Below are 17,695 nucleotides of genomic sequence, written 5' to 3'. Positions count from 1 at the left end.
TATTAGGTTGGTGCACAAGTAATGGCAAAACTGCAATTACTTGTTCACCAATCTACTATCTTGCTTTATTCCTTTCATTAGAGCAGAGATTTCTGGGTGGAGAGGATTGTCCTGTAAGTCCACTTTATCTGGCAAATCTTCAGAGTTAAAGCAGATCATTTGGCATTCTCCTCAAATTTCTAGCTTCTACATTATCACATTCTTACGAGGCACAAGCAAGAATGCACCATCTGATCAGTAACAATAATAATATCTCCTCTTTGAGTGAAAGAACAGACATTTGAGTGAAATATCAAACTCTAAAAGGTGGGAGGGTGAGAGGAATATGAGGGTTAAAAAACTAGCTATTGTGTACAATGTTTGTTATTCAGGTAAAAGCCCAGATTTCACCACTATGTGTGTATCCATGCAACAAAACTGCGCTTGTAACCCCTAACTCTATTTTTAAAACTATCTTGTGAGCTCTTTTCTTATATGGGTCAGATTGTAAATCTTCAAAGTTTGTCTCTTCTCTGAACTTGTGACACTTATTTTTATGAAAAAAATAATATTTGGAAATTGTCAGCCCTTTGATCTTAGATCATATTTTAAAAACTATTTATAATAGAATTAAAAACTATTTATCATGGGTGTATGAGAAAACATTTGATCAGGAGATTGATATCTATCAAAAACTGCATGAGCCACATGAGTCCTAAGTTTTCTTTGAGTCTAGTATCTTAAGATTTTAAGATTTAGGGCTTGTTTTCTTTATAATCTCGTCCTTGTTAGGAAACTATATTTGCCACTTTTATGCACACCTTACCAAATGTAGGACCAAATAAGATGTTTGGTCTTTTCCTCTGTTTTCCATGTCTATTATTGACCAGACAACTTAATCAGGAGAAACAAAATACCTTTGTTTCCAGCTGAGCTATTTTCTTTTTGATTACTTTGGTCCCGCGAACTAAAACAAATCTTCCCTGCTTCCTATCAATTGTTTTGCTTTCTTTGTATTTGCTTCATTACATTCTTGAATTGATTTCTTTTGTCTGTTGGGTACATTCGGCTCTGATCTTTTATTCCTCACAAATATTTAAGTATGTGACAACTATAAAAGGAAAAAGATAATTTATACCTATTTTCTATGTTTCAGAGTTTACCACCAATGGTTTTCCAGTAGCATCAAACAGTCAAATAATTCACTTTGACTTCTAGGTTAGTATTGATAGTATTCAGAAAAACGGTGGTTCTTCTGAAGGTCTCTTGTTTCAACTGAACAGTGAACCATGACTTAGTTTTCACTGCTCATTTGACGTTTTGTTGACCACAAGGAAAGGGTGAATGTATTCATTTGTTTAAGCTGAAATTCGAACTCTAACGAAGACAATATATGTTCAGATTCTGAGTCAAACCTGTAACTCATTCTAGCCCAGTGTTTCATCTTTAACATAAAAGTATTCTACAGTGAAGACTTAAATTTTCCTTATGATTTCATCAGAAATGGTCAGGAATTAACCCAAATATCAACGTTTGAGGAGATTTTTGGTAAGTACTAAATATCAATTCACTGTACTAATACAGCAACTGGTTTTCTATTAGAGAACTCAGTATTATTTAAAATTAAGATTATGAGCTCTGGTGCCAAGTCACATGAGTCTAAATATGTCCTCTGCCTCTTACTGGTTTTGGATTTTGAGTAGCTTGCTTAAATTATCTCAGTGTATTGATTTCTAAAGAAAATTCTATCTGATGAATTGATGACAGTCATCTTTTGAGAGTGACCCAAAATGAAAAGAATACTCATTGCTGATCACTTGATTATTTCAGCATAATTCATGTTCTAAATGGAATACATGGTGTGAAGTAGAAGTGACATTTTGATGTGGGATTTGTAAACATGTACCATGCCAAAAAAAAAAAAAAAAACCCTACCTCACAAGATTAAGTGATATAATGCATAATGCATATAAAGTATTTAGAACAGTAGAATAGTTTCTAACACATGCTAAGTACACAACAAAAGTTAGGTATTAAGTTGTGTACTGAAAAACATGCTAAACATGTGTGATGGTTAACATTGACTGTTGGTTTGATTGGATTGAAGGATGCAAAGTATTGTTCCTGGGTTTGTCTGTGAAGGTGTTGCCAAAGGAGATTAACATTTGAGTCAGTAGACTGGGAAAGGCAGACCCACTTTCAATCTGGGTGGGCACAATCTAATCATTGCCACTGTGGCCAGAATAAAAGCAGGCAGAAAACATGGAAAGACCAGACTGGCTTAGTCTTCCAGCCTACATCTTTCTCCCACGCTGGATGCTTCCTGACCCTGAACATCGGACTCCAAATTCTTCAACTTTGAGATTCTTGGATCTTCAGCCACAAACTGAAGGCTGTCAGTTTGTCAGCTTCCCTACTTTTAGGATTTTGGGACTCAGACTGTCTTCCTTGCTCCTCAGCTTTCAGATGGCCTATTGTGGAACCTCACCTTGTGATTGTGTGAGTCAATAATCCTTAATAAACTCCCTTTTATATATACATCTATCCTATTAGTTCTGTCGCTCTAGAGAACCTTGACTAATACTGCGCATAAGAAATTAAATGTTCCTTCAAACATGAGTCTACTGTCCAGAATTAAGAGTCTACAGAGGGAAGATAAGCTTGTTTGAACCATTACATGTAGCATCAACGTGGTCGGCAGTCTTAGCTTATTATTATTACCCCTGCCCTATCTTACTCAGAAAGTTGGGAAGGCAAAGCAGCTTAAAATTCCCAGTCAGCCAGTATTCCTCCCTTAGTCATACCTGTCAAGTCTTTAATATTGATCCCCTTCTCTACGAACAGTCCTTCACCACCCTCTCTCCCTCTAATATTCTAAACCAGAAAGACTAAGTTTTGTTCTTACTCTACTGCCATGCTCAGAAAATCAAAACGTGTTCAATTAGTTAGCTGTTCTATTTCTTCCGCAAGTTTGACATATAACAGCCTCAGTTTAGCAAATTACAACAAGAAAACAATTGATGTGGAAGAAAGAAATAAAGTGCTGTATGACTTCAGAGGTGGAATAATTTATTTCTGTTTGGAGATGTTGTGGGAGGTTTCATGGAGTACATTACATGTGTATAGTAAAAGACTAACTCAGCAAGCCTGGATTCTTTGAAATCTTCACATTCCAAAGAAAGGTCTGATGCTTAACTGGACCTAGAAGAAAAACCCTTAGAATATCTTCCCTTTGTTTTTCTGGGGACTTGGGCCAAGCCAGATTATTAGCCAGGTTTATGGTAACAATGTGATGTATGGTGAAGACATTGGACCATACAGTATCATATCAGTTTGGAATCTGGAAAGGCTGAAGATTATGTAAATAAGTCAGCCATGTGGGCACAACATGTCTGCATGCACCCTCTCTCCCACCTGCAATAAAACACTGGACACCAAGACTTGGATAAGTTTCCCAGTTTGGCAGTACTGCATGTATGTTATCACACATAATTGCTGAGAGAATTCAGTGTGATTCATATTACTCCCCTGGGAAGGAACAGCTAGAAACAAATAGCAAGTCTCTCCTGGACTCTATCCATTATACCCTTTTCCCTTGCTGATTTTATGCTATACCCATTCATTGTCATAAACCATAAATATGAGTGTAACAGCTTTTCTGAGTTCTGTGAGTTTTTCTAGTGGACCTCTAAACCTGAGGGTGTTCTTGGGGAACACTAAGAACAACACTTCATTTGCACTTTCAGTTAGATTTTGAAAAATGAATACGCTTTTGGAAATGTGGAAATGAGTGGGCAGAGGATGGAAATAGACAATAATAGGAATACAGGTTGCTTGAGATAGAAGAAACTAGAAGAATGTTGTGAAAAAAGAGGAACACTACACCATATAGTGGGATCAATGAACAGTTCGGCCAAACGTTGCATTAAATATTCTTTAAAAACAAGTCTATTACCTCAAGAAGCTTAGACAGTGGTGAAAAGATAAGGTTCAACTAAATGAATAAATCAAGAATAATATGAGGCAAAGGATAAACAACAAATGGTCTGGGCTAAATGAGTTGGGAGGAGGGACTGTTGTGTGAAACGATATAATCTGAAAGAACTCTACGAAAGTCTCCGGTGGCCTAGATATATGCAGATGGGCTACAGCCAATAGTCCTGAGAACAGTGTTCCCAACACCTATTTTAATGTGTAATAAAAATGAATTATATCATTACTAATTCAAGTGAATAAAATGCACAAAAATGTCTTTAGTGACTGTTTTCTCTGATATCACTATTTGAATTTAAAATGTTAATTTGTAAAATAAATCAATTTTCATTATTAATGAACTCTGCATTTGCAAATTTGTCTACTTACTAAAATTTATTGGCAACCCAAAAGTCAATACTTACTCACAGTACTTTTATGGTTATTTGCAGACATGTGCAGAGCAGTGAAAAATGTGTGTCACCCAATGCACACAGTCCCACATGAGGTTGAACGTGGTGATGCTTTGCCTTCTGGTTCTGCTTTCATACTGTAAACAATGTAATTTTCATAGTCTATTTAATACCATATTCTTTGCATTTTAATTCTCTTTTTTTTGGTGATTTTGCTGTTTAAGATGACCCCCAACTGTAGTGCTAAGGTGCTGCCTGGTATTCCTAAGTGAAAGAGGGCTGTAATATTGGTTTTGGAGAAAATGTGGTATTGAATAAACTTCATTTAATCATGAGTGATAGTGCTGTTGGCCTTTTTCAAGCAGAGTAAACAGGCAACCAACAGAGTGGGAGAAAATATTCACAATCTATACATCTGACAAAGGATTAATATCCAGAATCTAAAACAAACTCAAACAAATTAGCAAGAAAAAAACAAACAATTCCATCAAAAAGTGGGCAAAGGACATGGATAGACAATTCTTAAAAGAAGATATACAAATGGCCAACAAACATTAAAAAATGCTCAACATCACCAATTATCAGAGAAATGCAAATGAAAACCAGAATGTGATACCACCTTACTCTTGCAAGAATGGCAATAATAAAAAAAATCAATAAATAATAGATGCCGGCATGGATGCAAGGAACAGGGAACACTTCTACACTGCTGGTGGGAATGTAAACTTGTACAACCACTATGGAAAATCATGTGGAGATCCCATAAAAAACTAAAAGTAGAACCACCATTTGATCCAGCAATCCCACTACTATGTATAAACCCAGAGGAAAAGAAGTCATTATACAAAAAAAATACTTTCACACTCATATTACAGCTGCACAATTCACAAATGCAAAAATGTGGAACCAACCCAAACGTCTATCAATCAATGACTGGATACAGAAGCTGTAATATATATATATGTATATATATATATATATGAATACTACTCAGCCATAAAAAGGAATGAATTAATGGCATTCCGCAGCAAACTGGATGAGATTGAAGACTATTATTCTAAGTGAATGGAAAACCATACATTGTATATTCCCACTCATAAGTGGGAGCTAAGCTATGAGGATACAAAGGCGTAAGTATGACACAATAGATTTTGGGGACTCAGGGGGAAGGGATAGGAAGGGGGTGAGGGATAAAAGACCACAGATTGGATGCAGCGTATACTGCTCGTGTGATGGGTGCACCAAAATCTCACAAATCACCACTAAAGAACTTACTCATGTAACCAAACACCACCTGTTCCCCAATAACCTATGGAAATTAAAAAAAATAATAAAGACAATCGGAGTACTATAAAAAATATTAAATTAATTATCTTTAAACAGAAACCACATAATACATAATATGCACTTGTCAGTTGACAAAAATGTTATTTCTAGAGCCTCCCAGGTATCTAACTCTGTATTTACATGGAAGCAATGGTTCAGTATTTGCTAATTGTGTTTGTGGTGACTTCGTATAGCATAATTACTGTGAATAACAAGAAATGACTATAGTTAAAATATTGTCTTAGCAAAAGATTTTAAAGTAAACACAGGGGCTATATTGCATATTAATTCATGTCATCTCTTTTGTTTATACTATATATAAATATAGGGATATAAAAAAGGTCTTTTACAAATAAGTAAACATTTTTGCATTACAATTTACTGAAATATTCTTCACTTAAAGAAAGTTTAGTTGCAACTTGAAAGCAACAAGGAAATGAGAAAAAATTATCTGTCCATGAAGAAATTATCTACAGAGATTAGTTGTGGCAAATTAAATGAGAAGAGTAAGTCACACAGTAATTCTGAACTGGAAGTTGACTGTTAAGCTAGAACTTTCTACCATGAATGGGAAGTCACAGTACTTTGTAAGTACTATAGAAATATTCGTAGGTACTGTGTTTGTAAGTACGATAGAAATAGGAACTTCCTTACTTATGGTCTTTTTTTCTTTCTTCATTTAATTGAACTTATTCCGTGTCTATGGAATTACATATTTCACTTTATTCAAAGTTGATCATTAATAATAAACTTCAAAACCTAAGCAGCCATGACGGTAACCTAGAATAGACAGGGACTGCTGTCTTACCCTACAGCTATAGAGACTGGCCAACTGAAAAACATTTACACAGACTTAAGGAAGCAATATAGCAGGGTGCTTAAGAGGACAAACTCTGAAGTCAGATTTTCTCCACTAAATCTTGACAGTTACTGGCTATATGGCCATAAGAAAGCTGTTAATACTTTCTATGTCTTGGTTTCCTTTGTCAATTGACCTATTAGTAATATTTATTTTGTGCAATTGTAAAAATTAAATTATATGTAAAGCACTCAAAGTAGTGCCTTATTTATGGTAAATATTCAGTATATTATCAATTATTATTATATACTCAGCTTCAGCAGACTATTTCTCAATGGCATGCAAGATCAAGAGATTTCTTTAAATAATCAGGAATTTAAGTTTGTAGATACAATTTTCAATATTTGAAAACATTGTGTAGCCAATTATAATATGTGGATCAATTGGTCAACAAGCTAGTAGTTAGCAACTAAGGAAGCGATTCTTTCCATATCAGTAACATTAGGACTCTACTTAATTGTCTAGAAGTTTACTTGGAGGATGAATGTATGAAGAAGTAGATGTTTAATTATAACATTTTATTTTATTTATTTAATAGAAATAATAAAATAAGTAGTAATTACTAGGAAGTTCATTATCTGAAAGCCCCCAATTTTTCTTTCCTGTGAACCAAGTCTGAAGACATTTTAGTTTATCTAAATCGTATGAGAGAATAATAGTAGCAACAACTCTGTAATATCCTTCTCCTTAAGGACACCACTCATATTAATTACCACTTTAAATAAGTTAACATGCCTTATTCTTTCTGGATAAAAGAGAATATTAGCAGATAGAAAACCAAAGAATATCTAGTTATACTTTTTATTACTTTGACAAATTTTATTCATTAGATCAATAAAACAAACTTTTAAAGGTAACTTTTTAAAAGATAAATTTAAAATTTAATCTGAAATCCAAATCAAATGTTGTACAAATTAAAATATTGTTTTACAATCATTTTAAATTGTCATAAAACAAGAAAGAGGATTACAATTAATTCACTCTAATTTTTCTAAAGCATCATTTATGTATGAGGAATATTACATCAACTCTTTAGTAAAAAGAAATCTCTGTATCCATATATCCAAGATTAACATTCTGGTATCCCCTCTGAAACTTCTATATGTCTAACATTTCTGCTTATCTAGGCACCAAGACCCTTGCCAAGCTACAAATTAAACTATTCTTTTTCAGATGTATGTGTTAGACGAGGGGTCATACACAAAAGAAGCAAATACTTTTTTACCTTTTATTTTAGAAATTATGACTATTTAACTGGAGTAGAATTTCTAAAATGTTCTATTTACCAGGATTGCAATTTCTAAAATGTTCATGTAATAAACAATATTTAAAAAATAATTAATCTTCAGAATTTCCCAAGAGAATGGAGAAAGTATAAAGAAGGGTAAAAGGGGAATATGAAGCAAAACCTATTAAAGGCCCATTCATATTCCCTAATAAAGAGGGAAGGCAATGTCAATTTGGGAAAATATTTTGTCACACACAGGGAGAGACAGAGAGAAAGGGAGAAAGAATTATTATGGCCAATAGCCAGTGCGAGAAATAAACTTTAGGCACTCGAAAATTTCATCAAGCCGTAAGAATAAAAAGTGTTACTGTTTTAATTTCCAAATTACAGAAACTGAGAGTGGCCTCCCATGTTGAAGAAAGTATACGCCTAGACAAATGGTAATCTTATGAGTCTTTCTTTCATAATTGTGTGGTAATTCATATTTCATATAAAAGATCTCATTTATGTTAAAAGATATTTTTAAAGTGACTATTTCTTTTTGTTCTTAGTAAAAATAATGCTAGTTACAGAAACATAAGCTAGAGTTTAAAAGTTCTTTTTTCCTGGAGAATCAAGCAGATGACCAATTCCTTACAAGAGATTAGTAACTGTAACAGGTTTGCTTATGCAAACCTCCTGATGTGGTTTGGCTGTGTCCCCACCGAAATATCATCTTGAATTCTCATGTGCTGTGGGAGGGACCCAGTGGGAGGTAATTGAATCACGGAGGCAGGTCTTTCCCATGCTGTTCTCATGAAGGTGAGCGAGTATCATGAGATCTGATGGTTTTGTAAGGGGCAGTTTCCCTGCACAAGCTCTTTCTTTGCCTGCTGCCATCCATGTAATACATGACTTGCTCCTCCTTGCCTTCTGCCATGATTGTGAGGCCTCCCCACCCACATAGAACTGTAAGTCTATTAAACCCTTTTTCCTGTATAAATCACCCAGTTTCCAGTATGTCTTTATCAATTCTTTATCAAGAATTGGCCTAAGACCAGTCATCTCCAACCTGATAAATCCTCCAGTTCCAGAGGTTGGAACAAAGCTATTCCCAGGGACATAAAGAGATAAGAAAAAAAAAATCTTAACTTTTTTTTGAAAAGATGACCAAAGGCAAAGTTTACCCAAGTATACCATTCAGATAAGGATTTCTCAATTCATCTGTCCTTTAGGTTTTCTCAAATATGGACTCATCTTTCTTCTGACTTTTTCTTAAAGACTGAAGGCATAAAGTGATTAGAATGGACAGGAAGGCTTGTAAGAAGGCATTTTTTTCACTGAGAACAGTTTTTAAATAAGATTAAAGTATTCATAAAGGTTTCTGTTTCCTTCAAAGCAAAATATAGTTTGAAGTAGAAAAGAAAAAAAGAAATGAGTTTGAGTTCAGACTTAATGATAGACTACCTCACTGTCATATTTAAACAGATGTCTAAGAAAGACCTCAGCACTAAGGAAGTGACCCCCAAGCATGAGGATTAAGTAACCTCAGAGGACTATGCTTTTCTCAGTTGAGGACTTCAGCCATAGCAGCAAGGGTGTTTGTATTGGATGTCAATGACATCTCCAGGTTTCTCAACAAGCAAAATCTCAAAAGCCAGATCAACTGATCAACAAACCAAACAACAGCAACAACAATGTTGAATAAGCAAAGTTAAATTCATTAATCCTACTGCAGTACAAGAAAATCACCTTGATTTCTTTTTGTAGTAGTGTTATACAGAAGTGAAACACCAAAGAAAATCATTTGTAAGATACCGGAACCTAGGCTTTGTGATTTTAAACAAAGTTTTGCAAGACAGAGAATTGGTTGAAATTTTAGTTTATAACATAAAAGCTTTAGATTACTTGCCACAGTAAGCAAGGGCCTTGAAGCAATTCTTGACAAGCAACAAATTCGTCCTATGAAATAAGCTCTTTTAGTTGGTTCACAGTCTTATCTTTTAGAAGCAAGCATTTTCTCAATCAAGTAGCTAAGTTGACTTTGCTTATTCTCAATATTAGTTAACCTATTAATAGGAAAGTATTTCCAGTCCCAATATTGTCCAACATAGAGACAGGAAATTATGTTGGCTTCAGTTTTAAAATCATACAGTTAGTGAGGGTAAACTTTGATTTTAGTCTCAGAATTTTTTCCCAAAAAATGCTTAAAAGATTAAACATTTTTTCCAAAGACTAAAGTATTACATTAATTTTCTGAATTCTAGAACAGTTTTTACATTTGTTTCTGCATTATTCAGTAATTCTTATGGTAAATTATGTACTCAAAACTCACTCTATTGAACCATCCACTGAGTGTGGACAAATAATGTGGATATAAAAAAAGAATACATGTGCAATGTAAATATTTGATCAAGAAATAAACACTCATCATTTACTGAAAAAAAATTCTAAAATATGATGAATACGCAAGTGACAAGAAGGAATAAGAATCACTTGCCCCACTAGATATTTCAATGGCTATTAGATGTTGTATCAAGGTTGTTTTATTTTTCAGTCTGAGAAGTCTAAGTAGAACTGAATTAGGTAAATAAACATCCACTCTCCAAAACACTCTTTTTGCAAGTGTTAGCCTATTTTTCTGTGATTTTCTGCCAAGCTATTCATGCTTTTATATGCAATGCTCACAGCAAAGCATTCTTGTATACATTCCTTTTTATAAAAAAGCTTTTACCTGCCACTTGGAAAACACTTGAAGCTTATGTACAGAATAGTGATCGATAGTCTTATTGCACCTGAAAGTTTGTAACTCACTTCAGAGTTTTCTGCTGATGTTGTAGATAACAGGAACATCTCTTGAGTACTTTATAACTTGTTTTAAAATCCTGAGATTAAATTTAGAGCATGAATATTTACTTTACATAAATGTATTTGCTTCCCTAAATATGAGGATTAAAATGCTGTATGGATATATGAAAGTTATAATCTAAGTATTTAAATAATTGTACTAAAAGAAAGGAGAGAAGTTTCTAATGTAAATTTTGGATATCATATTTCAGTGACTTGAAAAGAGAGGAATTAACATTTTTTTTCCTCGGGATGGCAGATTGGAAGCACTGTAAGCATGCTTCTCCCACTTGGCGAGACAAAATAATGTGTAGGGACTCATGCTGTGAACTCGTTTTTCAAGAAGCAACACAGGAACAACGGGAAAACTGAAAGAAACCACAGTCCTTTTGAAGGAAGCAGCAGGCTGCAGCTTACACTGTGAGCCAAGTGGAATACTGCAAGTCCCCAGAGCATAAGAGGAAGAGAAACTGCCTCTGGGATATGCACTCCCAATGGGGAACTTGGCAATCCAGGCCACCGGGAACAACATCGGACCGTGCTTTGCTCTCCCAGACTCCAGCAAGAATGGAAGGTAGCCTGCCATTCCGGATCCTACCTCACAGGGGACCTCGCGGAAGGCAGCCGACTAACTCAGGAGGCGGCCACAGGTTGAGAGAAGCTCACAACTGAGATGCGTGATATAATCTCAAGCAGGGACAAACTCACTTAGCCAGAACCGAGCGATGAGTGGGAAGTATGTTGTAGCCACAGGCACAGGAGCTGGATGCCCTGCTTTGTGAGGGGACCACAAAGGCCATGTCCTCAAAGCCACAGTTTCTATCTCAGTGGGAAAAGAATATGGCCTGGGTCAGTATTAAGTTCTGGGCACAGACTGCCTTGAAACCTAGCTAGCTGTTGCTAGTGGAACACTGTATGTGTGAGACGTGCCTTGCCAAGTGCTTGGGAGCTGGATGGAGCTTACTGCCACCTGCTACTCTCCACTCCCCATATGGACTCTTCTATGCATCGGGGCAGCTGCACTACTTCCTGTGGCTAGAAGACTGCCCTTTGATTCCCACTGGGGCTGCTGTTTGTACCAGCACATGGGCATTCAGAGCATGAACTTGCCTGACTCAGCCCCGTGCTGGCTTTGCCCCTTCACTAGTCCTGGTAGCTTACTTAACACAAAGGGCAGAAACCTTGGGGAGCTCTATGGCCCTGTCCATTGCCTGAGACAGCAGAGTACCTCCATGAGGTAGCATAAGGCAACACAAATCCTCCTGCTACCACCACAGTTGGCATTCTTTTGCAAGGGCCATTTCTTGCCTGGAGCCCAGCTGACAGAGTCCATTGCTGCATCCACAGGCACAATAACAAAATGCCAAGGAAGGAGAAAATTTGTGTGTGACCTCAGCTATCATCACTGCCTGCATCACGCTGGCTAATCAGGAGGTCCAGAGTCTGTCCACATGACCAGTTCTTAACTACTAAAATTGGCATTTGATAAAGTCCACACACTAAGGCTATTTATATCCAAAGAATCTCACAGAGTCTATGTCACTCCCTTGCCAACCCCATCAGAGCTGGTGCTGGTACCTGCCACTGGGAGACTTGAGTACAGGTCACATACATCCTCGAGAGTCAACAAAGTAAATGTGTTGTGTGTGTGTGTGTGGGGGGGGTAAATAAAAAATATATATAATGTACATGAATATATGTGTATTATATATAATGTACACATATATATGCATTACATATTCAATATATATTCATATATGTATTCATATATACATATATATAGGAATACTAATCAACAGTAAGAAAGAACAAAATAATCTCTTTTTAAAATCTTTTGCAGCAACTTGGATGTAGCTGGAGGCCATTATTTTAAATGAAGTTACTCAGGAATGGAAACCCAAATACTGTATGTTCTCATGTTCTCACTTATACAAGTGGGAGCTAACCTGGGTACACAAAGACGTACAGAGTAATATAATGGACACCGGAGACTGAGAAGGGGGAGAGTGGGAGGGAGATGAGGGGTAAGAAACTACGCATTGGGTACAATGTACACTACTCAGGTGACCAGTGCAGTAAAATCTCAGACTTCACTGCTATACAATTCATTCATGTAACCAGTAATCACTTATACCCCTAAAGCTATTGAAATACAAGAAATAAATGAGTAATTACAAAGACAATTATATTTTAAATTCTTTAAAATATATTTGTCAATCATTTTGCAGTTTCAAATGATGGAAATGTAATTACGAAGAGAATTGTTTTGCTCTCATCTCTGGAAAGAATGGTGATGTCATTAGAACTGACGGACTAGTCAATACATAGATTTGATGCTGTGAGGACTCAACACTCCACCCTCAGCTTTGCAATTATCTTTGTATTCACTTCACTTTAATGCTCTGCAAGCAGTGAGCAGCTTCATCTACATAGTGGGAAATACAATTATCGAGAGCTCTTGAGCTTCATACTTCTCAGTTTCTACTACCATTAACTCTCTTTATTCCCAATTAGAAAAAATATGGTTCAGGTTGATAGGGTTTAATCTTCCCATGACCAGAGTTAGAGCCACATAATACACTTGCAGCTCTCATTGGGAAATACAGATGTAAGTGGGAGGAGGGCAATATGGGGAGAAGAGACAAATGTTGACTCAAAAATATCAGAGATGTTGTTTTTTAAAATCTCCTCTGAAAAACATAAAAACGCTGTATCAGTTACATAGTGTTGGTTACAATAACAGAAAAGTTGACTCAAACTGTTAAGCAATGTAGATATAGATAGATAGAAATACAAAATACATGAAAAGCCTAGAGGTGTATTTGACATGATTCAACATCTCAATAATGTCCCCAATAGCTCAGTTACTTTATGTCTCTTTGCCTTGACTCTGCATTATGAACTTTAGCAAAGGGGGCTGTGCTTATGACTGTAAGATGATTACAATGAGCTCCTGGACATGGGTATTTTTGTACCAGTATTCCCTCCCGAAGTCCTAATACTCACACTTATTGAAATATCTTAGACTCATGTCTATCCTGTAGCCACACTTGGCCAGGGCAGTGGAATATTCTGATTGTTTATGGCCTCCTCTACTTTTGGAGCTGGGAATGGACACAAATGGATAAGTAACATAACTTGAGGGCTTTTGAGAAGCAGAAAGTGCAGAAATGCTTGCTAGAATGTAACCTAGATTACCTACCATACATCCATCTCTGTGTCATTATTTTTAAGTTATTTTATAGGGATGTTACTTAAATGGAAGTTAATAAAATTTAAATAAAGAAAACATTGTCAGAGCTTATATATGTAATTTACTCCTCCTTCCAGGGAAGCCAAACAGTAATAAAATCCTGGTTGTTGATCACCAGCTTGGTATTTTAATGAAAACTTTTACGGTTGAGTTAGAAATCACAGTTTAGATTTAAGACTAAATTATTCCTATTCCCTCTTTCCCATTCTATATGTTTGTAGGAATAATTGGGTATACCTATGGAGAAAGAATGAGAGAAATAAGACTAGATCCCTAGAGAGAATATAACTCAACTTATCCAGTTCACTAAAGGGATCAGCACAGCCAGTCTGCCTTAAATGCTGGCAGCAAGTAAAAGAGGAGCCAGAAAGAGACAGAATGTGCTTTGAAAGAGTGCTGACTTACAGCATAGTGACTTGTTCATACATGTCGATTTGCTCTTCTACCTTAGGGAATACTTCAAGAGAGAATGAAAGAGAATGGCAAAATCTCTTTTCCCTTACTCCCCTGAATGAAATAAGGCAGAAAATTTAGGGGTTCAACTTTTCAATGAAGAGAAAATAATTGTGTACCTACTTTTTTAAGTAACACATTTCATAACAGGTAAGAAATCAGCATATATACATATATATATATATACACACACACATATGTATATATATGTGTGTATATATATAAACATACACAAGTATATATGTGTGCATTTTCAGATATAATTGTATATATATTAAAATTATATATATGTGTATTTGTATATTTTATTCTCTGTAAGTTGTGTGTGTCTACATGTATCTTAAAATTATATCTATTCAGTGACAAGGGAAATGGATGAGAGGTAGAAAGATCAATGGTTGAGCTCACGGAAGTGGGCCCTTCGCTGGAGTCAGAGTAGGAAGAAGGGAAATAGGCAGAAACAGATTTTTCAACCAGTTTATTTATTGTATTGATTATGTGATGATGAGAATGTGAACATTTTTATAAGCATAGTTATTCCTAAGGCTTGGGAGTTTATTGATCCACTTGAGAGTGAAAACTTTAGCTAACAGACTATTAGCTACTCTACTTGTTTTTGTGTTTGTTTTGTTTTGTTTTGTTGTTTGTCTTTCTTAGAGGTAATCCACCAATACGAGCCATTTATATGTACAATGGAATTATGGTGCTTGGTAAAGAAATAAACAGAAAAAAATATTGACGCAAGTCCTGAAATTCAACTCCTTTTCACCCCTTCTGTTCATGTTTAGATTCTATTTATTTATACATTATTTTTTAAATGGCATTTCTTATTGACAAGGGCACAGTAGAACAAAGAATTTAGCCTCTTTTAGGCTACTAAGCAGTCACTGTGTTAGGAATGACCCATGAGAGTTCATGAAAGCAGATTTTTTTAATAAAAAAGCGAAATTTCCTGATCTTATTATGTATTACACTATTTCATATTAAAGATCTCTAACAGAAATGAGGATGCGAGGACCCTCTGTCAAAAGCCTTCAGGGCACTGTGTGGCCCTCCTAGGTTTTGCCACTTGCCTAGTTTAAGTGTTAGAGCCAAAAAATTGCAAAGACATGACTCACAAGACTGTCTGTCGATTAAGCATAAAGGGGCCAGGCTATAGGGGATTTGAGCTGCATTAAAGCCAAACTTAAAATGGAAGAGAAGGTCTGTGGCAGAAGTGACAATAATTATGTGAAGACAGTTATCAAACAGCATTGCTATTTCTCCATTTTTCCCATCACCTCACCATACTCCTTTCTGGATTCCAAGTGAGACTCCTCTGACTAAGAACAGTATTTCTCTTGCCCTTACTATATAGCCAGGCAGTACCTCACTGGCCTATCCAATCAGTCACTAGCTTTGTTCTTAGTGGTAAAACTCATGAGATCTGTCATAAACCCTGTCTTCATTATCCAGGTGCTCCTTTCTTAGGGAACTGACTGATGTTTAAGATTTGACTTGTTTCAAATAGTTCAATGTAGAGTCCACCACATCTAAAGCTAGCTGATATCAACCCAAAGATAAAAGTGCAATTTACATTGTAGGAAAAGGAACATTAGTTGTTCCAATGCTATTCTTTTCTTTAATAAGTGAAAAGGAAAATATGATTTTAGGAGTTTGATTTCTATCAAGATTCTACATCACATCATTTAGTTAAACAAATTCAAGGACCCCCCTGTCTAACTATTTTTATCACTTTATTCATTTATTTCACTGGCAACTGTTTTAGTAAATTACTATGTAGTAATGATCCTAATTTTTACATATATTTTGAGATTACAAATCTCATTTCTTGACCATCACTGTAAATCTGGGTCCCTTTATATTAAGAAGAGTGTGTCAATTCAGCACCATAAAGTTATGTTTATTATTAAATATTAATAGTCTTGTTGGAGTCTAATCTTGAAATAGAATTGGAAATGAACTCGGGCAGGAAATTTAGTATCTACTCCCTCCTCTCTGATCACTCTCAAATTTATTAATGGAGGATGGCATTGAATGGCCATTTGTTTGCATAATGACACTGTGTTCCTTGTATTTCCATTGACACTGTTAGAATGTGTGTGTGAAACGAAAATATTTTTAAATTTAGGGTTCATTTGTAGAACTTGGTAAATCTAGCTAACTAGATAGATTGGCAGTGTGTTTGGAAGTCTGTTACACTGATGGCTCCCAGTGATCACATCTCTTGACATTCACAACCTAATAATTCACCTTCCCTTGTATCTAGGCTGGGCCTGTGATTTGTTTGAACTATTAGGATATGGGGAGAGCAATACTGTCCCAATTCTCTGCCTAAGACAAAAGACAACATGGAAGCTTCCACCTTTGCACTATGGGGAGCCCTACACTACCATGAAAGAAATCTGGATATTCTACTGGAGATACAATTTGGAGAGAGACTCCATGGGGAACGGAGGCCCTAAGACCATCATGGAGGCAAGAAGATGTCAGCCATTCAAGACATCCAGTGCATCTCACCCTCTAAATTGATCGATCAGCTGAAACGCGGCCTCATGAAAAACTGCTGGCACAGAGAGCTGAAGACATCAAATGCAAATGAATGGTTGTCATTTGAAAGACATAGTGTTTCTGGGAGTGGGGAGAGTGGTTATTTAGAACAGATAGGAATGGTGAAAACTGAGTATCTCCCACCCCTATCCCCATCCCCAGCCTTAGCCATGCAGTATATAGATTTAGATTTGGGGGTTTGGCCTGGGCAACCAGAGTCTGGGGTTTATCTAGTACTTGGAGTATGAAATGATGAGACAAGTTAATTAGACAAAACAATATCAGGATTCTCACTGAATAAAGTGTGGTTGTTACTTACAGAACTATATGTCCTAATATGATCCCCTCCTGTAGCACATTTCATGAAGTACTTGCTACTCTCATGAAGTAGTTGCTACTTTGCCTTGAGAAGGAAAAAATATGGGTGCACAGGATATTCTTAGTTCTTAAAATCTTTGTGAGAGTCAGTGTTCCCTGCACTGCCACAACTGTCAGACACTCTGCTCTGAGTTCATCTTGAAAGGGACATTGACTTTTGAGTTTCCTTAAAATTCTGCTTCCAGTTGTCTCAATTTTAAATTGCTGTACCTCATGTATATGCGGGGAGGTTATTATATGTGTGTGTCTGTGTGTGCACATGCAAGCACAGTAAATTCGTCCACAATACTTTGTAGATGCTAAAATGACTTTACAATATGGTCTTTGACTGTATTTTTGTCTAACCATTCAGGCAAATTTTACTATTTTCATTCAAAATGAGTAGATTTTGCTAAGAATATTAAGAGTTTTTCTGGAGCAGCTGTGTTTTTAAAAATATCTATACATATGTCAAATAC

The 17,695-nt window shown here is 35.9% G+C and overlaps 1 non-coding gene across 1 annotated transcript; it reads left to right on the top strand.

Moving 5' to 3' along the window:
* Positions 1 to 1,729: 1,729 nt before the first annotated feature.
* On the top strand, positions 1,730 to 1,798 carry LOC124900300 (small nucleolar RNA SNORD2). The gene has a single exon (XR_007062423.1). It is a non-coding gene; the product is annotated as a small nucleolar RNA SNORD2 (small nucleolar RNA).
* Positions 1,799 to 17,695: the final 15,897 nt, after the last annotated feature.

Source organism: Homo sapiens, chromosome 10, assembly GCF_000001405.40.
Source record: "Homo sapiens chromosome 10, GRCh38.p14 Primary Assembly".
Lineage (NCBI taxonomy): Eukaryota > Metazoa > Chordata > Mammalia > Primates > Hominidae > Homo > Homo sapiens.
Note: the sequence above shows the minus strand (reverse complement) of the source record. Positions and strands in the feature narration are given on the sequence as shown.